The sequence below is a fragment of the Homo sapiens genome, chromosome 2, assembly GCF_000001405.40.
Source record: "Homo sapiens chromosome 2, GRCh38.p14 Primary Assembly".
NCBI classification, from domain to species: domain Eukaryota; kingdom Metazoa; phylum Chordata; class Mammalia; order Primates; family Hominidae; genus Homo; species Homo sapiens.
Genome location: NC_000002.12, coordinates 39,303,216 through 39,323,102, shown reverse-complemented (window position 1 = coordinate 39,323,102; position 19,887 = coordinate 39,303,216). Strand labels below are relative to the sequence as shown.

Below are 19,887 nucleotides of genomic sequence, written 5' to 3'. Positions count from 1 at the left end.
AACTTTTTTATTTGCAAATGATTTGTAATTGTAATTGCTAAGTGCAGTGTTGTCACTCAAAATACGAATGTATCTAAGAATTTCAGCACTTACTGTGATACTAGAACTATTGTATGCATACTCTTAAAAATAAGGGTGGGCTCAGTGGCTTATGCCTGTAATCCCAGCACTCTGGAAGACCGAGGCAGGTGGATCACCTGAGGTCAGGAGTTTGGGACCAGCTTGGCTAACATGGTGAAACCCCGTCTCTACTAAAAATACAAAAATTAGCCGGGCATGGTGGCTCATGCGTGTAATCCCAGCTATTCAGGGGGCTGTGGCAAGAGAATTGCTTGAACCTGGGAGGCAGAGGTTATAGTGAGCCAAGATCATGCGACTGCACTCCAGCCTGGGCAACAGAGCGAGACTCCATCTCAAAAAAAAAAAACAAAAAATAGAAAAAGAAAAATATATATATATGTGTATTTATCTATATATACATATATACACACACACACACACACACACACATATACCACATCTAAGTCTAGTTTAAGTTTTTTATAGGTTATGCACTGTGGAAGAAAGTTTGACTTTTTAATGTTGAGTTCCCCTGTAGTTTCTATTTTAGAAGTAATTACACACTGGTGTAATTCTAATTCTGATTTTTATTCAGTTTTCGTCTCCTATATGTAAGCCCACTTACTATGTACAGCATTATAAGATTTAACAATTTTATTAATCTGTTATGCTAATAAATTAATAATTTATTGTGCTGTTTAAGCCGGGAAGGTAAAACTGTTCTCAGAAATAATCATGAGTTTCATCCATGTTCATTAATAACAGTCTGTATGAGTAACCTGCATGTTACCTGTTTTTGTTTGGTTTTGCTACTGTATATTAGATCAAAAGTCTAGGGTTTTTCCTAGCTCTATGGCTAGCTAGCTGAATGCCCTGCCACTTAATTTTAAGTCTCAGTATCCTCATCTATGAAATTGAAGGGGTGGGTTGCCCCTCCACACCTGTGGGTGTTTCTCGTTAGGTGGAAGGAGAGACTTGGAAAAGAAAGACACAGAGACAAAGTATAGAGAAAGAAATAAGGGGACCCAGGGGACCAGCGTTCAACATATGGAGGATCCCGCCAGCCTCTGAGTTCCCTTAGTATTTATTGATCATTTGTGGGTGTTTCCCCGAGAGGGGGATGTGTCAGGGTCACAAGACAATAGTGGGGAGAGGGTCAGCAGACAAACACGTGAACAGTGGTCTTTGCATCATAGACAAGGTAAAAGAATCAAGTGCTGTGCTTTTAGATATGCATACACATAAACATCTCAATGCTTTACAAACCAGTATTGTTGCCCGCATGTCCCACCTCCAGCCCTAAGGCGGTTTTTCCCTATCTCAGTAGATGGAATGTACAATCGGGTTTTATACTGAGACATTCCATTGCCCAGGGACGGGCAGGAGACAGATGCCTTCCTCTTGTCTCAACTGCAAGAGGCATGCCTTCCTCTTATACTAATCCTCCTCATTACAGACCCTTTATGGGTGTCGGGCTGGGGGACGGTCAGGTCTTCCCCTTCCCACGAGGCCATATTTCAGACTATCACATGGGGAGAAACCTTGGACAATACCTGGCTTTCCTAGGCGGAGGTCCCTGCGGCCTTCCGTAGTGTTTGTGTCCCTGGGTACTTGAGATTAGGGAGTGGTGATGACTCTTAAGGAGCATGCTGCCTTCAAGCATCTGTTTAACAAAGCACATCTTGCACAACCCTTAATCCATTTAACCCTGAGTTTGACACAGCACATGTTTCAGAGAGCACGGGGTTGGGGGGTAATAAGATCATAGATTAACAGAATGTCAAGGCAGAAGAATTTTTTAGTATAGAACAAAATGGAGTCTCCTATGTCTACTTCTTTCTACACAGACACAGTAACAATCTGATCTCTCTTTCTTTTCCCCACAGAAATGAAGAATAATGCTTGTTTCACGAGTTTAAGGATATAATGCTAAGGTGCATCAAAACACTTTGTAAACTAAAAAGCAGGTTGCACATGTAAAATTTAAATACCTAATTTTCAAAATTACTTTTGCTACTGTTTCACCATCACAAGTATTTAATATTTCAGTCTTTTAAATTTGTATATTTTTTCCCTGAGATGTACCTACACTGTGAGTAGTTAGTTTGAGTCTTGTTCTTGATTTGCCTTATTGAATCTAAGACTTAGAGCATAATGTTTATGAATTATGTTTCCACAAAGATAGATCTAAGAGTGTATCTCCTTCAAAGGTAATACAATAGCTTCAAAGGTAGCATTTCACCCACAGAGGAAGCTATTGGGTATTGCAATAATTACATGAAATAGATGCTGGTTGAGAGACCTTAGTGTGAGTATGGAGCTGCAAAAGTTTTTTGAATAAGACCTCTTTTACTTCCAAAGGTTATAGTAATGTTCATGAATTAACATTAAATAGAACTCATCTCCATTCTACCCACCTTCAGAATATTCCTGTATGAAGTTGGCAGTGCACATAGAATGGTTTTAATAAAGTAAAAGGAAAGAAAATAGAGGACTGCTCCTCCAAGAAAAAAACATAAAGGGCCAAAAAAAAAAAATTGTGTTGACCAAGAAAAAGTACCATAAATCATTAACCCATTTAGCCTAGTGTTCCATTATTGGAACTAGGCTTGTGGGAGTTATTTATATCCTACTGCTCAAGGCCATCGTCAAGGTTTGATTTTTCACACAAAAAATTTGCAACCTCAGGTATAAATGGGTTAATGCCTTTAGCATTATTTCATTGCATTTATGTCTTATCCTTTTGATATAAGGAGTTGACGCAGATTTTTTAAATTGCAGTCTTCTCTGCAATAGGGAAAGCTACTTGCAACGTGTAAACAGCTATTGAATTATTGAAATACTTAATTTTTGACTATTTATTTATATTTAACTCGATGAACATTCACTGGGGACCTGCTGTAGCTAAAACATTATTTCCTAATCTTGAGAAGTTCACCATTTCAGGAGAAGAAAAAACAGCCAACTTTTGTTAGGGAAGTCAGAGAAGATGTCACAAAGGAAGTGACATTGCTAGAAAGGAGTTTGCCAATAGGAAGATGCCAGAAAGACCAAAGTTTAAAAAATAAAAATAATGGTCAAAGAATTGGGGACTTTTAAAAACTCATCAAGACTCTTAAAAAATGATAGCCATCCCCCATATCTAAATGTTTGAATACACTAGCTTTCATAAATTTTAGAAATGGTAAAATATGGTCTTTAGCCTTAAGATTCATGTAAAAATGAATGCAATCAAGAGAGGGTTACATATGGATTAAGAGCACATCAGGTATGTGAATCTTTGTAATTTCATTTGTCTAGGTTCTTATCTACTGCATAGCAGATTAGTGGATTCTTCTTACATTAAATAATAGCTCACCATATGACATTTATATAGTAGAAATATTTAGACTCTTGATTTTGAATTTTAAGAGATGTTTGACAAAATAAATATTACTTGAGATTTTACTATCATTAACAGTTACCTTTCTTTAAAAACACTGAAAATATAGTTGTCCCTTGACGTACACAAGGGGGATTGGTTCCAGGACTCTCAAGTATACCAAACTCCGTGCATACCCAAATCCCACAGTCAGCCCTGCAAAACCCACATATATGAAATGTTGGTCCTCCGTATACATGGGTTTTGTATCCCCAAGTAATCTGCATAGAAGTGGACTTCTGCAGTTCAAACTTTTGTTCAAGGATAAACTGTACGTGGAATGAAGAAACAATAAGGTTTTAGTTTCCGTATTTCCTAAAATTCCTAGCAATTTTTAGGGAGAAAATTGGGGTAAGGAGGTTCTTTGTAGTTGTGGTTTAAAAAAAAAAAAAGTATGTAATTGAGTGTATATACTTGAAAAAGATGAGAAGACCTAAAAGTAAATTTGACAGCATTCAGAAAGTATTGGCATTTGCTTGTAGGAGTTCTCAATCTGAGCACTGTTGACATTTTGGGCCAGATAATCCTTTGTTTTGGGAGGGCTGCCCTGTGCATTCTAGAATGTTTAGCAGCATTGCTGGACTCTTCCCATTAGTTGCCAGTTAACACCCTTTAATCCCAAGTTGTGACAACAAAAAAATGTCCCCAGATATTGCCAAATGTCTCCTCAGGGACAAAATTGCCCCGGTCAAAAACCACTGGCTTATGTCAACTAGGATTTATCATACTGTCTATGTCTTTCCTTCCCGTACAAACTTGACATTCTCATCTAGCTCCCATTGCAAAGGGCCTGTTATTTGTATTTATATTATTTGATGATAACAATAATCATAGAACTTTAAGATGATAAAAGTTGAATAAACGTGAAATGGTTTGTAAGGGCAGGGTTTTGTTTTTTATCAAGAAGTAATAAAAATAATTGTAATCACGTTGCATGTAAAGCATTGTTTAAAAAAAATAGACACCATGCATCATTGTGAATGGCTTGTTTCTTTAAATGCCATTTATTAGAAAGATTATTTTCATCAGTGCTTCTCTAAATATCATATATTAGTTACTATAAGCCCGTTATCGCAGGTGTCTATGGTTAGTGTGTATTACATTTATAGAGGAAAAATGAGAGTATTTATGTTTAGAAATTAAAGGCTACATTTTAATTTTTAAAAATCTTACCATTTTTATTAGTGATCTTGAAAAAATAATTCATTACGTTTCTTTTTCTCTTAACTTTTATTTTAGTTTCAGGGTACATGTGCAGGTTGGTTCTGTAGATAAATGGTATGTCACGGGGGATTCATGTACATATTCTTTTGTCACCCAGGTCATAAGCCTAGTACCCAATAGGTAGTTTTTTATCCTCACCCTCCTCCCAACCTCAAGTTGGCCCCTATGTCTATTGTTCCCTTCTTTGTATCCATGTGTACTCAGTGTTTAGCTCCCACTTATCAGTGAGAACATGTGGAATTTGGTTTTCTGCTCCTGAGTTAGTTTACTTAGGATAATGGCCTCCAGCTCCATCCTTGTTGCTGCAGAGGACACTATCTCGTTCTTTTTTATGGCTGCATATCCGTACCACATTTTCTTTATTCAGTCTACTGTTGTTGGGCATTTAGTTTGATTCAGTATCTTTGCTATTGTGTTTTGCTATTGTGAGTAGTACTGCGATGAACATAACGTGCATGTTTTTATGGTAGAACAACTTATATTCCTTTGGGTATATACTCAGTAATGGCATTGCTTGGTTGAATGGTTGTTCTAAGTTCTTTGAGAAATCCCCAGACTGCTTTCCACAGTAGCTGAACTAATTTACATTCCCACCAGCAGTGTGTAACCGTTCCCTTTTCCCTGCTGCCTTGCCATAATCTGTTATTTTTTGACTTTTCAATAATAACCATTCTGGCTGGTATGAGATGGTATCTCATTATGGTTTTGATTTGTGTTTCTCCAATGATTAGTGATGTTCAAGCATTTTTTCATATTTTTGATGGCTGTGTATATGTCTTCTTTTGAAAAGTATCTGTCATGTCCTTTGCCCACTTTTTAATAGAGTTGTTTTTTGCTTGTTAATTTAAGATTCTTACAGATTCAGGATATTAGATCTCGGTCAAATGCATAGTTGGCAAAAATTTTCTCCTATTCTGTGGGTTGTCTGTTTACTCTGTTGATAGTTTCTTTTGCTGTGCCGAACCTGTTTAGTTTAATTAGATCCCATTTGTCAATTTTTGGTTTTGTGGCAATTGCTTTTGGCATCTTCATCATGAAATCTTTGCTTATGTCTATGTCTGGAATGGTATTTCCTAGGTTTTCTTCAAGGGTCTTTATAGTTTTAGATTTTACATTTAAGTCTGTAATCCATCTTGAGTTGATTTTTGTATATTGTGTAAGGAAGGGGTCCAGTTTCAATCTTCTGTATATGGCTAACCAGTTATCCTAGCACCATTTATTGAATGGGGCGTTCTCTCCCCATTGCTTCTTTTTGTCAGGTTTGTCGAAGATCAGATGGTTGTAGATGTATGGCTTTATTTCTAGGCTCTCTGTTCTGTTCCATTGGTCTATATGTCTATTTTTATACCAGTACCATTCTCTCTTGGTTCTGTAGCCTTGTAGTATAGTTTGAAATCAGGTAATGTGATGCCTGTAGTGTTGTTCTTTTTGCTTCAGATTGCTTTGGCTATTTGGACTCTTTTTTGATTCCACGTGAATTTTATAATAGAGTTTTCTATAAATTTTAATTTTTGAGAATGTATCTACATGGCCTTTGTCTAATTAAATGATTCTAAAGGATATCCTTTTTCTTAGAAGGGCAACTTTTTAAGTTCAGATGAGCTATTTTAGAATCAATTCTGCTTATTCGAAATTCTAGTAAATGTAATACCGTTTTAGAGATGTTAAGTGTAATCTTTCATTGTTAGAAACAAAACAAATTATTTAGCATTTCAGAAGATGATGCCTAACATTCTGTTGCCTACTTTAATTTCAGGTTGGGCATCTTTCATTCCCTGGCCTCATTTAACAAAATCTTGTGGCAATCCCTTTCTCCTTTTTTACATGAAATATTTCATTTTCAAAAGAAATTTTTGAAAAAATATGAAAAAATACCGTTTTCATATCCAACCATCTGAATTGGTACATCTGAAGGGAAGATAATCAGTCAAGTCTCCAGTTCACCTCTGTTCTAAAGGGTGAAATATGGCCTCTGTATACCTGGATAGCCTTTCTTGTAATCATTTGACTTCTTGAGTTAGTTATCAGTTTTGTTCCTGACAAGCTAGAGGTTCAGTTTTCACAGGGTTTCTCTAAATCATATTTTTTCAGCTTTTTCTTTTTCTTATGTTGGAGCCCTTGACAAATCTTATATTGGACATTCAGAGTATAAGTTTTCCAGTATTCCTTTGTGATCACATTTAATTAGTTAGACTCTGTAAATAATTTCAAGGTGTGAATCTTCTTTGCAAATTAAAGGCAAATAATTAAATATTGGTATGTTTCCTACTCATGGAAATTATAATGGCACATCTATAACCAAGAGAAACTGAGATGGAGTGGAGAGCATTTTTTTAATTAAAAAAAATAAAGCTTCTGAAAAACATAAAATACTGTATGTTCACATAAGCATAAGTTATATAATTTTTCCAGTCTTAGTTAAATCGATTACAATTCAGATAGTGCCAAAAGTGAAACACAAACTAATATCCTACATCATCTATAAATGTCTGTGTGTAGTTTTTAAAAATTATTTCAAAAAAATTCATAAATTGAAAAATAAACCTTAAAAGGCTTCTAAGCTCAACCATCATTAAATGATAGATGCAAGTGGTAATGTTTACACTGTTGTATTTCCTTTCCCTTCAGAATTTCTCGATGTCAGAATAGATCCAGGATACTCAAGTGTACTTGATTCATCCTTGTAGAATGGATCTAGACAAGTCTGATGTTGCACATACAAATAAGAATATGTTACTAATTGTGTTTAATTTCATATGTATTTAGCCAAAGAAGTGCCCTTTCTAGTACAAATAATAATTTATGTTGTGGATAATAAAAATATTTTTTCACCTAATAGTTTGAGCTGCTATTGTGGTTTGCTTTTTTAAAAAAAAAAAATTTGCAAAGTGCTGTTTTGCTTTCATTTTTACTTAAAATGAAGTATTTTTTCCTATTTGGGTAATTTTGTGGACCAAACTATGACTTGATTATCAAATGCTGCATATCATTGATTTTGTTCTTTTCTAGCCTCTTGTTGCTGTACCACATAGAATTCACTCAACAAGTAGAAACGTGAGAGAAGAAAAAACACGCTCAGAGATAACCTGTAAGTATATACTATACACAGTTTATGATTTAATGATAGAAAATAAGTTATAATTTAGTTACAGTTATTTTTGTTTTATTTCCTTCTGAATAGTTTTTCTTACTAAACACTGTTAAAGGTAAAGTTTAATTAGGGCAGTAAGAATTTCATTTTCCTTATTCTTGTGGAATTTTTGGTGGCAGGATGGGATGTATTTATGTTGTTACTGTTTGGGAGGATAAGTTAATTCCTGGAATAAGCAGGGTAGAAGTAATTAAGGCAGTGCCGTAAATGCCTGTGTGCATGTAACTCACCTAGAGAGCTTGTTAAATGCAGTTTCAGATTCAGTAGACCTGGGATGGGATCTGAGGTTCTACTAACAAGCTCCCACGTCATTCATGCACTCATGATCCAAGGGTAACAGAGAAATAGAGGTCTGCAAACTGCCCTAGCATCTGAGTAACCTGGAAACTTTTAAAAAGGGATTCTCAGGCACCACTTTTCCATAGAGTCCAATTCAGTAGGTCTTGGATTGGCCCAGAAACCTTTTAAAATAGGCCTCCAGTTATTTCTTAGGGGCAGCCAAGTTATGGGCCCACTAAGACAAGCCATTCATTCACATGGGATCCAATACTGTCAACTCATCAGTGATAAACTGCCAACAAGAATCCCTCGAACAATAGTGCCTTAACTTTTTTATTCCTTAGAAGCATTTATTCTCTGAGTTTTGTTCTAGTGATACCTGGAAAGTATGGTGGGTTATATAAAAAGCTCAGGAGTGGGATTTGGTACTTTGCTTGCCAGCAGTTAGTTGTGTGATCATATAAAATTATCTTTAAAGCTCCTGCTGAAGTCACGTTTTAAATTTGCTAATTTCACCACAAAACTATTTTTCCGAAAATGGCATCCTTAGCATGTGAGAGCATTTCTCATATTTTAATATACAAAAAATAATTATGAAATATCTTTATCATTTCTTTAATATACAAAAAGTAATTAGAGGCCAGGTACAGTGGCTCATGCTTGTAATCCCAGCACTTTGGGAGGCCGAGGCGGGCGGATCACTTGAGGCCAGGAGTTCAAGACAAGCATGGCCAACATGGCGAAACTCCGTCTCTACATAAGCTACCAAAATTAGCCAGGCATGTTGATGTGCACCTGTAACCCCAGCTACTTGGGTGGCTGAGGTATGAGAATTGCTTGAGCCTGGGAGGCCGAGTTTGCAGTGAGTTGAAATCCTGCCACTGCACTCCAGCCTGGGCAAAGAACAAGATTCTGTTTGGAAAAAAAAAAGTAATTAGAGGTGACTTGCAGTTAATTTAGAAAACTTTATATATTCAGTACTGTTGAAAATGTAATTTAAAGTACTCTCTTTCTTGTTATCTCATTTTATTAAAAAATTACATTGTCAGTCCCTTTATAGCATAGTATTTCTGAATCACTCTGTGGTAACATATCAGTGATTCTCAACTTCTAAGTGCATATGCATGTGTATGCTATTTCAAACTAGATGTCTAGGCTGGGCACAGTGACTCACACCTATAATCCCAGTACTTTTGGGAGGCCGAGGCGGGTGGATCACTTGAGGTCAGGAGCTGGAGACCAGCCTGACCAACATAGTGAAATCCTGTGTCTGCTAAAAATACAAAAATTAGCCGGGCCTGTTGGTGTGTGCCTGTAGTCCCAGCTACTGGGGAGGCTGAGGCAGGAAACTCGCTGAAACCTGGGAGGCAGAGGGCTGCAGTGAGCTGAGATCCTGCTACTGCACTGCAGCCTTGGCGACAGTGTCTCAATTGAAAGAAAGAGAGAGAGAGAAGAGAGAGAGAAAGAAGAAAGAAAAGAAAAGAAAAAGAAAGGAAGGAAGGAAAGAAAGAAGGAAAGAAAGAAGAACATCATATGAGAATTCATGGACACAAAGGGAAACAACAGACACTGGGGCCTGCTTGAGGGTGAAGAGTTAGGAGGAGGGAGAAGATCAGAAAAAGTAACTATTGGGTACTAGGCTTAGTACCTGGGTGACGAAATAATCTGTACAATAAACCCCCGCGATGCAAGTTTACCTATACAACAAACCTGCATATGTACCCTGAACCTAAAATAAAAGTTCAAAAAGTAAAAATAAAAAAGAGCATCATAAACAGTGCCGCAGACTGGGATGATTGACCAACAGTTATTTGAAGAGTAACTGGAAGATTCTGTGGCAGAGGCTTGTCATAACTTTAGGGAATTTGAAGAGAGCAGAAGAGTGATACCAGTGTAAGGTTTGAATCTCCATAGGGACTTTGCTCCCTTTCTGGAAATGCATTCTCCATCCACAGAGTTCAGGTACAGTGATACTGAATACCTGCTATAGTCACGGCTTTTAGTAAGACAGCATCCTTGCACTCAGGGGTTGTACAATCTGGTGGGAGAAATGGGCATGTTCACAGGTGGCAATAACACAAGGCAGATAGATGCACAAGACTGTCCTCATGTAATTTTATTACAGACCGCATTTTGGAATTTGAAGACAAGTATAGGTGAAAGCTGTTCAATAGGCCTTTATCAAGATGAGGTATATGTTAGTTTTGATACCTTACTAAAAGTTATTTTGTAATCTTTGATGTGTGATCAATTGTGAACAGTTAGGATGGACTCATTCTTAACCTACTTATCAGATCTAAGGGCCATTTGATATCTGAGCCATTAACAGCTTAAAAGCATATACACACCCAGACATAACTGGAGATATTACAGGGCTGTGTTTCTCAACTGTTTTTTTCCTTATGCCTCCTATTGCTAAATATTCAAATCCCATGGTCTTCTTTCATTGGTATTAACATTCACAATAAATTTACATACAAAGTTGAAATCAAACCGTTAGAAAAGTGATTATGCTTTGAAATCTCACTGTTTTCCTCAGCTTGGTTGAGAAGTTTTGGTTTTGGCTGAAGCTCTTACTAGTTGAAATGTAATATATTGTGGCTGTTTTCTTTTTATTGTTTTGTATTTTTTCCTCTGCTTGTATCTCAGTGGACTTGAGGGTTTTACCCAGGTTATAAGATCAGAAAATGATAATGAGCTGTGGAAATAAAAGGTAAAGATACTGAAACATTCAATACATTAGAAAGCAAAGAAAAAGAAAAGATGAATGTAGTACAGTTAATCTGTGTCTACTCTGGCTAGTTTATACTTTAGCTGCAGTGGTTGTTTTTGGTTGTGTAGCAAACCCAAAATTTAGCAGCTTAAAACAGTAAACATTTTTTAAATCAACTCCCATATTTTTATTTTAAATCTTATAAGACAATATTATTGTCATTAACCATGGTCAATATTAATTTGTATTTGTATATTTACCAATTTTTTGCTCTTCATTCAATACTGTATTTCTGTACCACTACTTATGGATCTCTTTTGATTAAATAATTCCTTTTAGTATTTCTTTAAGTCTGAAGGTATTGAATTCTCTCACTTTCTGTATATCTGCTCATATTAAACAATAAACATTTATTGTCTCTAACAGATTTTGAGAGTCAGGAATCCAGGACAGGTTAGCTGAGTGATTCTGGCTCAAGGTCTCATAAAGTTGCACACAGGATATCAGCTAGGGCTGGAGTCATCTGAATGTTTGACTGGACTGGAAGATTTACTTCCAAGCTCATTCACGTAACTATTGGCCAGAGGCTTCACTTCCTTGCCAGGAGGCCTCTCTTTAGGGCTGCTCACAATGTGACTTCCTCCAGAGCAAGTGATCCAACAGAGAGAGCCCAAGACAGAAGCTTTATCTTGGAACTCATATACAGTTAACTTCTGCTCTGGTCTTTTGGTCACATCAGCCAACGCTGATCCAATGTGGAAGCATTTTGAATACCAAGAGGCAGGAGTCACTGGGGGCCATCTTACAGGCTGGCTTCCACAAGTACCCTGTATCAGCAGCTGTCTACCCACCTAAATACTGAATTAAGATGGTCTCAGCCAGGCACAGTGGCTCACGCCTGTAATCCCAGCACTTTAGGAGGCCGAGGCGGGCGGATCACCTGAGGTCAGGAGTTCCAGACCAGCCTGGCCAACATGGTGAAAGCCCATCTCTACTAAAAATACAAAAACTTAGCTAGGTATAGTGGCGCGCACCTGTAGGCCCAGCTACTCAGGAGGTCGAGGCACGAGAACCGCTTGAACCCAGGAGGTGGAGGTTGCAGTGAGCTGAGATCGCGCCATTACACTCCAGCCTGGGCAACGGAAAGAGACTCCGTCTCAAAAAACAAAACCAAAAAAAGATTGTCTCTGTTTTATTCTTGGTCACAACAAAGTAGCAAGTTAGAACTTGATTGTACACACATATAATTTTGTTAATCATCTTCTTTTCTTACTGTGGAAATGGCCTAGAATTAACAAATTAAGCTTTAGCGGTTAAGACTTTATTGGGCTTTTTCCAGCTGACATACAAATGGCCATCAGATACATGAAAATATCACTAATTGTAATATTACAATTAGTTCAGCATCACTAATTGTAAAGAAAATGCAAATCAAAAAAGAAAAACCCCAATGAGATATCATTTCACCCTAGTTTAAATGGCTGTTGTTAAAAAGCCAAAAAATAACACATGCTGGTGAAAATGCAGAGAAAAGGGAATTCTTACATACTATTGATGGAAATGTAAATTAGTACAGCCACTATGGTAAACAGTATGGAGGTTCCTCAAGAACTAAAAATAGAACTACCATATGATTCAGAACTACTGGATTATGCATCCAAAAGAAAGGATACCAGTATATCTAAGAGATATCTACACTCCCAAGTTTATTGCAGCATTATCACAATACCCAGGATAAAGAATCAACCTATATGTGTATCAATGGGTGAATAAATAAAAGAAATGTAGTATATATACACAACAGAATATTATTCAGTCATAAAAAAAATGAAATCCTGTCATTTGCAACAACATGGATGGAACTGGAGGACATTAATGTTAAGTGACTAGGCATGGAAAGACAAATGTCTCATGTCCTCATTCATATGTGGTAGCTAAAAAAGTTGATCTCATGGAGGTAGAGTAGAATGATGGTTACCAGAGGCAGGAAAGGGTAAGAGATAGGTGGATGAAATGAGGTTGTTTCATAGGTACAAAAATAAAGTTAAATAGAAGGAATACATTCTAGTGTTCAGTAGCAGAGTAGGGAAATTAACAATCATTTATTGTATATTTCAAAATAGAAGATTTGGAATGTTCCCAACACAAAGAAATGGTAAATGTTTGATGTGATAGATATCCTAATTACCCTGTTTTGTTCATTACACATTGTACACGTGTATCAAAATATCGCATATACCACCATGAATATTTACAATTATTAGTGTCAGTTTTAAAAATTGAAAACAAAGATCTTTGGAGATCAGTGTGTGGTTGATGGTAGCATTAAATGTCTTTCACCATGGAATAACTTTTTAAATTATTATATCATTAAGAATATAAAAACATCCTGGTTTTGGCCGGGCGCAGTGGCTCACTCCTGTAATCTCAGCACTTTGGGAGGCCGAGGCGGGTGGATCACGAGGTCAGGGGATCGAGACCATCCTGGCTAACATGGTGAAACCCCGTCTCTACTAAAAATACAAAAAAATCAGCCGGGCGTGGTGGAGGGCGCCTGTAGTCCCAGCTACTCGGGAGGCTGAGGCAGGGAAATGGTGGGAACCCAGGGGGTGGAGATTGCAGTGAGCTGAGATTGCGCCACTGCACTCCAGCGTGGGAGACAGAGCAAGACTCTGCCTCAAAAAAAAAAAAAAAAAAAAAAAAAAATCCTGGTTTTACTTTTTTTTCTTTTTTAGTTGGCCAAGTGAAATTTGATCCACCCTTAAGAAAGGAGACAGAACCACATCATGAACTTGTAAGTAGTATAGCCTTAGAATGTTAGCACTGAAAATAAATGTTTTAATTTGTTTTTGTGTGATGTATTAGTACTGACCAAAAAAGCTAGTCATTAATATTTTCAAAAACATTCGAGGTCCCAGCCTGGTCAACATAGTAAGACCCTGTCTCTACAAAAAAATGTTAAAACTTAGTTGACGTGGCAGTGTGTACTTGTAGTCCTAGCTACTGGGGTGGCTACGGCAGGAGGATCCCTTGAGCCCAGGAATTCAAGGTTGCAGTGAGCTATGATAGCACTACTGTACTGTAGCCTGGGTGAAAGTGTGAGACCTTGTCTTTAAAAACATAAAATAAAATTTTTTTTAAAATCGTGGGAAACAAAAAGGTAAGTAATTCTCAAATTCATAATAAATAAATCTGTGTTGCTGAATATTTTCAAAATTATTTTAAGAGAAACTTAATTGTTTTACCATTCTGTGATTAAATGTTTTTAATGCTGACTTTTAAATTTTTTTTATTTTTTATTTTTTCTCTTTTTGAGGGGCTTTTTAAAATGTGTTATTTTTATGATAAATGCCATGGTTTCCAAACATTAGAGTAGAGTCATATCTGTATAGAGTATTGAAAATTAGGGAGATGAGGCATACATAGTAAATGAAGTTTGTCATTCATTTAAGGCTTGCTATAACTTTATGAATATACTTTGCATGATTCTTTTGTTGTTGTTTTATATACTCCTTTCCAGATAAATGATAATATATTAGATTCAGTCATAAAAGCAAAATACTTTGCATCTATTTGAGATGTTAATATTCTATAGAACAATAAAAAAATGAGACATTGGAAAATACAAAATTCTAAAGAAATTATTTTGCCAGAGTTCCATATGATGTCTGTTTCATTTTTTTATTTGCTATTTAATAATGAGAAGAAAATAACTGTTAATAAGTACTAAGGATTGAAGTAGGAGCTTTCTTCTTCAGTTTAATGCTTATTTTAACTCACTTGACTGAAGCATACAAAGGGTGTCATTAGCCTTTACCTTATAGTTACTCTAATTCAGTGTACCAGTGTGGAGGAATAGGATGTTAAAGAAAAAGTCTTAAAATGATCATATTGTAATACCAAAGCCTGACATTTATGAAGAGGGGTGGAGAAAATTAAGAAAAAGTAGTCATGATATTTATAAATGCTAATTGTGTTTTGTTAAGGCAGTTTGAGTTTATTTTTTGTTTCCCTTTGTAAGTTGGCATTGCCTGTATTTAAATTCTGTACTAATTTAGTAACTGCATTTTAGAGCAAAGTTGTTGCAATGTTGCTTTTTTAGAAGCTGCCTAATACAGTTTGACTCTCCATTTGCCTTAATAAAATTATATTAGCAGGACTTACTTCATTTGTGAAAGTTTCCCTTTGTGAATTTGTGGCTTTTAGTCTAAGCGTAAATAACTTGGGTTTCTTGGTCTCTGCTAAACAGCCCGACAGTGATGGTTTTTTGGACAGTTCAGAAGAAATATACTACACTGCAAGATCTAATCTGGTATTTCTCATCTTCTGATTTTCTTTGTCAGCATTGTTTTAGTCTTAATTGTTTTCTTTTAAGATCAAACATTTTGTCCAATTAAAGCATTGTTTTATAAGTTGCTATCATTTAGCAAACTTCTATATATTAAGAATTGTAGCAGTTTTTTCCCATAACAAGTTACATATATATATCTACTCAAATATAATGCTGTAGTAATAAACATGCTTGTATTTTTTATGAAAAATGTTAATATTTAATTTTCTCATTCATATATTAGGGTTTTTTTTTTAAGAAATGGCATTTCCCTGTAAAAATGTCCAGTTTAATGATGTAACTTGTTTTAATGAACTAGAAACCACCCATCCACATGTATATATATAAACAATTCATATGTTATATGGTACATATATTCATATGCATTACATATATAATATTCATATATCATGGTACATATATTATTCAGATAATATATGGTACATATATAATTTTTAAAGATAATTTATTCCTACATTAACAATGAAATCATTCTCAGATGAAGTTTTAATTTTTCAGCATTACTATCATGTCTGGTTTCCTTAGGACAAAATTTAGATTATAAAGCATTCCTGAAGTTATAAATACTGTCTTACCATTACATAAGAAAAAATGAGAAATTGATGCTATTAAATGTTAAATAAATAATACTTTTAATAGTTGTTATTAAGTAAATAGTTCTTTCTGCTACTGTGGTTGGCGAGAGCCCCAAGTTACCCCCATATTTACTCCCAGATTCTACTTTTCTGACTTTTAAATGGAATTTTCCTTATCTTTCCTTCCTCTTTACCTTAGTAACATACATCTTTCAATTTTGATTGGCTTAAATGATTCTTTATATAAATTTTTTAATCTAGGACCTCTGACATTTGTAAAATATAAAAGAGATTTTAGACATAATTTCCCTTCTTTAGGGAGGTTGCTGTCCTATTGGACAGAATATACTTACACATACAAACTCTTACCCATGCAACAAAATACATAATGGCTTGCCAACATTTTGCCAGGTGGCAAGTGTTGATGAGGGAAGCTAACATACAATAGGTACTGTAGAGATGAGAGAAGGAGAAGAGCTCTGGGGCCCATGTGGCTTATCTGGCTTCTGGGAGGGACTAAGACTAATGTCAGTATTGTGTAGGAACATTGTAGATTCTTCAGGAAGAAAAGGGACCAGATGCTGGCTCTGTTTCACAGCAATTGGAAACAGTTGCCAGCACAGACCACAGGTTTGAGAGATGTCAGGCAGAGAGCTGAGATTTTGAAATTATCATACTAATCTCGGATTCCTTTAAAAAAAAGTAGATTTAAATTATCAAAGAGGAAGTGATAGATGAAGCCATGAAATTGCATGTGTTCCCCATTGTTAAATCTGAAGAAACAGTGCAAAAAACTGGTTACCTCAGTGGATGATGCCTATGTTTAACATTCAGGTAGAACCAACATTGGAAGTAGGGAAGAAGCAGTTGAAAAGCTAGGAGAGCCAGTAAATGCACTGTCTCAAAATAAAGAGGGAATGTGTTCAATGGCATAAAGAGACAGAATGTGTGAGGATTGGGAATTAACCCATAGGGGCCAAGTGAGATAGAATGTCTGAAGAAAACACAGTCGGTGCTTGCTGGATTGAAAATGTTTTCAGAATTACACACGTAGGCTAGAATGACAATTAGTGAAATTTATTGCAGAAATAAAGACAACACAATCAAATTTTTAAATTGACTCTAGTATTTATTAATATCCTCCATGTAGAAAAGATAACAACAAAACTGGAAACATAATACTTTAAAATTACAAATACTCAGCCGGGCACGGTGGCTCATGCCTGTAATCCCAGCAGTTTGGGAGGCCAAGGCGGGCAGATCATGAGGTCAGGAGATCGAGACCATCCTGGCCAACATGGTGAAACCCTGTCTCTACTAAAAATACAAAAAATTAGCTAGGCATGGTGGCATGTGCCTGTAGTTCCAGCTACTCAGGAGGCTGAGGCAGGAGAATCCTTGAACCTGGGAGGCGGAGGTTGCAGTGAGCCAAGATTGTGCCATTGCACTCCAGCCTGGCAACAGAGCGAGACTCCATCTTTAAAAAAAAAAAAAAAAATTACAAATACTCTTTTCTGTGCCACATGTGGAACTAGCCTAGTAACTTGAATAAGTTACCATATTGTGGCTTTGTTCCCTGTAACTGCTCCCACCTTCATCCCTGCTCCCTGCCCTATAATCAGGAGTTTCCTGTGGTACAGGGGAGCATTTGACAGGGGTCTTGTGACAATGGAGGGATTTAGGGACTATTAGGTTAGTTCGGGCAGAAGAGGGATGAATGAAATATTTGTCAGAGTATACAACTTATAAAATCAACCTTAAAGCTCACTCCCAATGGTAACAAAAGCTAACATTTATCTAGAGGTTTTTATATACCAGGCATTATTCTAAGCACTTTAAATATATTAACTTATTATTCTTGTTTTACAAATGAGGTGATTTAAAGTGCAAAGAAGCTGAAATTCGTTAGTCTTTAGCTAAGAATAGCAGAGCTGGGATTCCTAAGCAGCCTAGCTCAGGAATTCAAAACTAAACCACTGTACTGTGTTGCCTCTACCCAACATCATCAGTATATATTTTTAAAGTAATACTGGGCCCCCCACCTTTTTAAAGTAAATATATATGTCCCATGGTTATGTTTTGTTTTTGTTTTTTTTACTGTGGTAAAATATACATTACGAAATTTACTGTTTTAATGTTTATGTCTACAGTCCAGTGGCATTATGTACATTCACATTGTTACGCAGCTGCCACCACTCTCCATCTTCAGAATGATTTCATCTTCCCAAACTAAAACTCTATACTCATTAAACAATAACTCCCCATTCCTTTTTCCCTCCAGCCCCTGGCAGCGAACACTCTGTTTTCTGACTATGAATTTGACTTCTCTAGTTATCTTGTATAAATGGAATCATAGCATATTTGTTCTTTTGTGGCTGGCTCACTACTTAGCATAATTTCGTAATACCTTCAGGGTTCCTCCGTGTTGCAGCGTGTGTCAGAATTTCCTTTTTAAGGCTGAATAATACTCCATTGCATGTAAATACCACATTTTGTTTATACATTCATCCATTGATGGACAGTGAGTTGCTTCTACCTTTTGGCTATTGTGAATAATGCTGCTATAAACATGGATATACAAATATCTGTTTGAGTCCCTGCTTTCGATTCTTTTGATATGTAACTAGAAATGGACTTGTAGTTCTATCTTTAATTTTTTGAGAAACTGCCATACTATTTTCCACAGCAGCTGCAACATTTTACATTCCCACCAGCGATGCACATGACTTCTACTTTCTCCACATCCTCATCAGCATTTGTTATTATCCTCTGTTTTGTTTTGTTTTTGACTTTCGATAATAGCTATCCTAATGGGTATAAAGTAGCCATAGTTATTTCTGTGTTCTAATTTTATCAATTCTAAAATCTTGGCACTGTGAACAAGATTTCATCTCTTACAAATGCTTGTGGCTGGCCACTAAAAGCCTGAGGAATCCAGAATGTCTGGCCCTCATCTTAGCTGGCAGTTGGCACCAAGGTAAAAACCCTAAATCCCTTTGGGACCAGAAGAAACATTTACCCCTTTAAAGACCTTGCTACATAAACATTCCATATTACCTGTGATTTCTGGTTGTTTTAAATGCCAACTGTTTTTATTTTGTGATTTTGTAAGTGAATTTAGAATGTTGTATTTAAACTTTTGTGCTATCCAAAAGTGCTCTCTCAAAAAAAAAAAAAAAATCAGATAATTAATATATGAAGCCAGAAGAATAGGGCTTGATTTTTTAGAATTGACAGTATGAGAATTTTTGAAAGATGCCTGAGTTTAAAACAAAAACTCACTGTAAGTTAATTAAAAGAGTTTTGCCCATAACCATAAAAATCAGTTTGTCTGATCTGCAAAATGCTATCTGCAGATTAAAAGATTATATTACACATCCGTCTTAACTGATGCTATTTTTTTCTAATTTGCATAGTTTTACTGGCTATTTAAGCCCATGTACCAATTAAAAACAAAAAATTGAAAGTTAATTCTGTATAAAAGACTATGTTGACCCGGCGTGGTAGCTCACGCCTATAATCCCAGCACTTTCGGAGGCCAAGGCGGGTGGATCACTTGAGGTCAGGAGTTCGAGACCAGCCTGGCCAATGTGGCAACCGCATCTCTATTGAAAATACAGAAATTAGCTGGGCATGGTGGTGCACGTCTTTAATCCCAGCTACTTGGAAGGCTGAGGCAGGAGAATCTCTTGAACCCAGAAGGCAGAGGTTGCAGGGAGCCGAGATCGTGCCACTGCACTCCAGCTTGGGTGACAGATCAAGACTGCATCTCAAAAACAAACAAAAACCCAAAAAACACTATGTTAATGACTATGTAGGGGCATAAATAAATAGTAACATAATCATTGCTCTGAAGAAGTATATAGTATGCCTCACCTGCCAATATTCATTTCCGAGCCTGCAGTACAAAAGTCATATTATTCCATTTTCAGGCTCCTTAATCTGCTTTTATTAGTCAGAAACCTAACTTGATCAGTTAATATTCTGACTCTACTTGCTTTTCTGACTTTTTAAGAAATAAAAAATATTTGAATTATCCTGGATTCAACACCTCTCTATTTCTATAAATCATCTACTGCGTTAAAAAGTGTCTCACTAACAACCTTATTTGTG

The 19,887-nt window shown here is 36.2% G+C and overlaps 1 protein-coding gene across 5 annotated transcripts in view, besides 1 other annotated feature; it reads left to right on the top strand.

Annotated features, from left to right (window-relative positions):
• Positions 1-19,887, top strand: part of MAP4K3 (mitogen-activated protein kinase kinase kinase kinase 3) — a 188,020-nt gene that overhangs the window by 114,183 nt on the left and 53,950 nt on the right. For 3 of the 5 annotated variants that reach the window (XM_047446092.1, NM_003618.4, XM_047446091.1), the window contains 3 exons: positions 7,715-7,793; positions 13,584-13,642; positions 15,098-15,160. In XM_047446092.1, the coding sequence (XP_047302048.1) occupies positions 7,715-7,793; positions 13,584-13,642; positions 15,098-15,160 (201 nt within the window). The remainder of the gene's footprint in view (positions 1-7,714; positions 7,794-13,583; positions 13,643-15,097; positions 15,161-19,887) is intronic. The other 2 variants (NM_001410753.1, NM_001270425.2) reach the window with 1 other exon arrangement.
• Positions 1,608-2,527: an enhancer, noted in NCBI's record as "NANOG-H3K27ac hESC enhancer chr2:39547717-39548636 (GRCh37/hg19 assembly coordinates)". NCBI's record gives its function as "activates a minimal SCP1, AML or CMV promoter by ChIP-STARR-seq in naive H9 embryonic stem cells {active_cell/tissue: H9 hESC(naive)}" and the evidence as "EXISTENCE:reporter gene assay evidence [ECO:0000049][PMID:30033119]".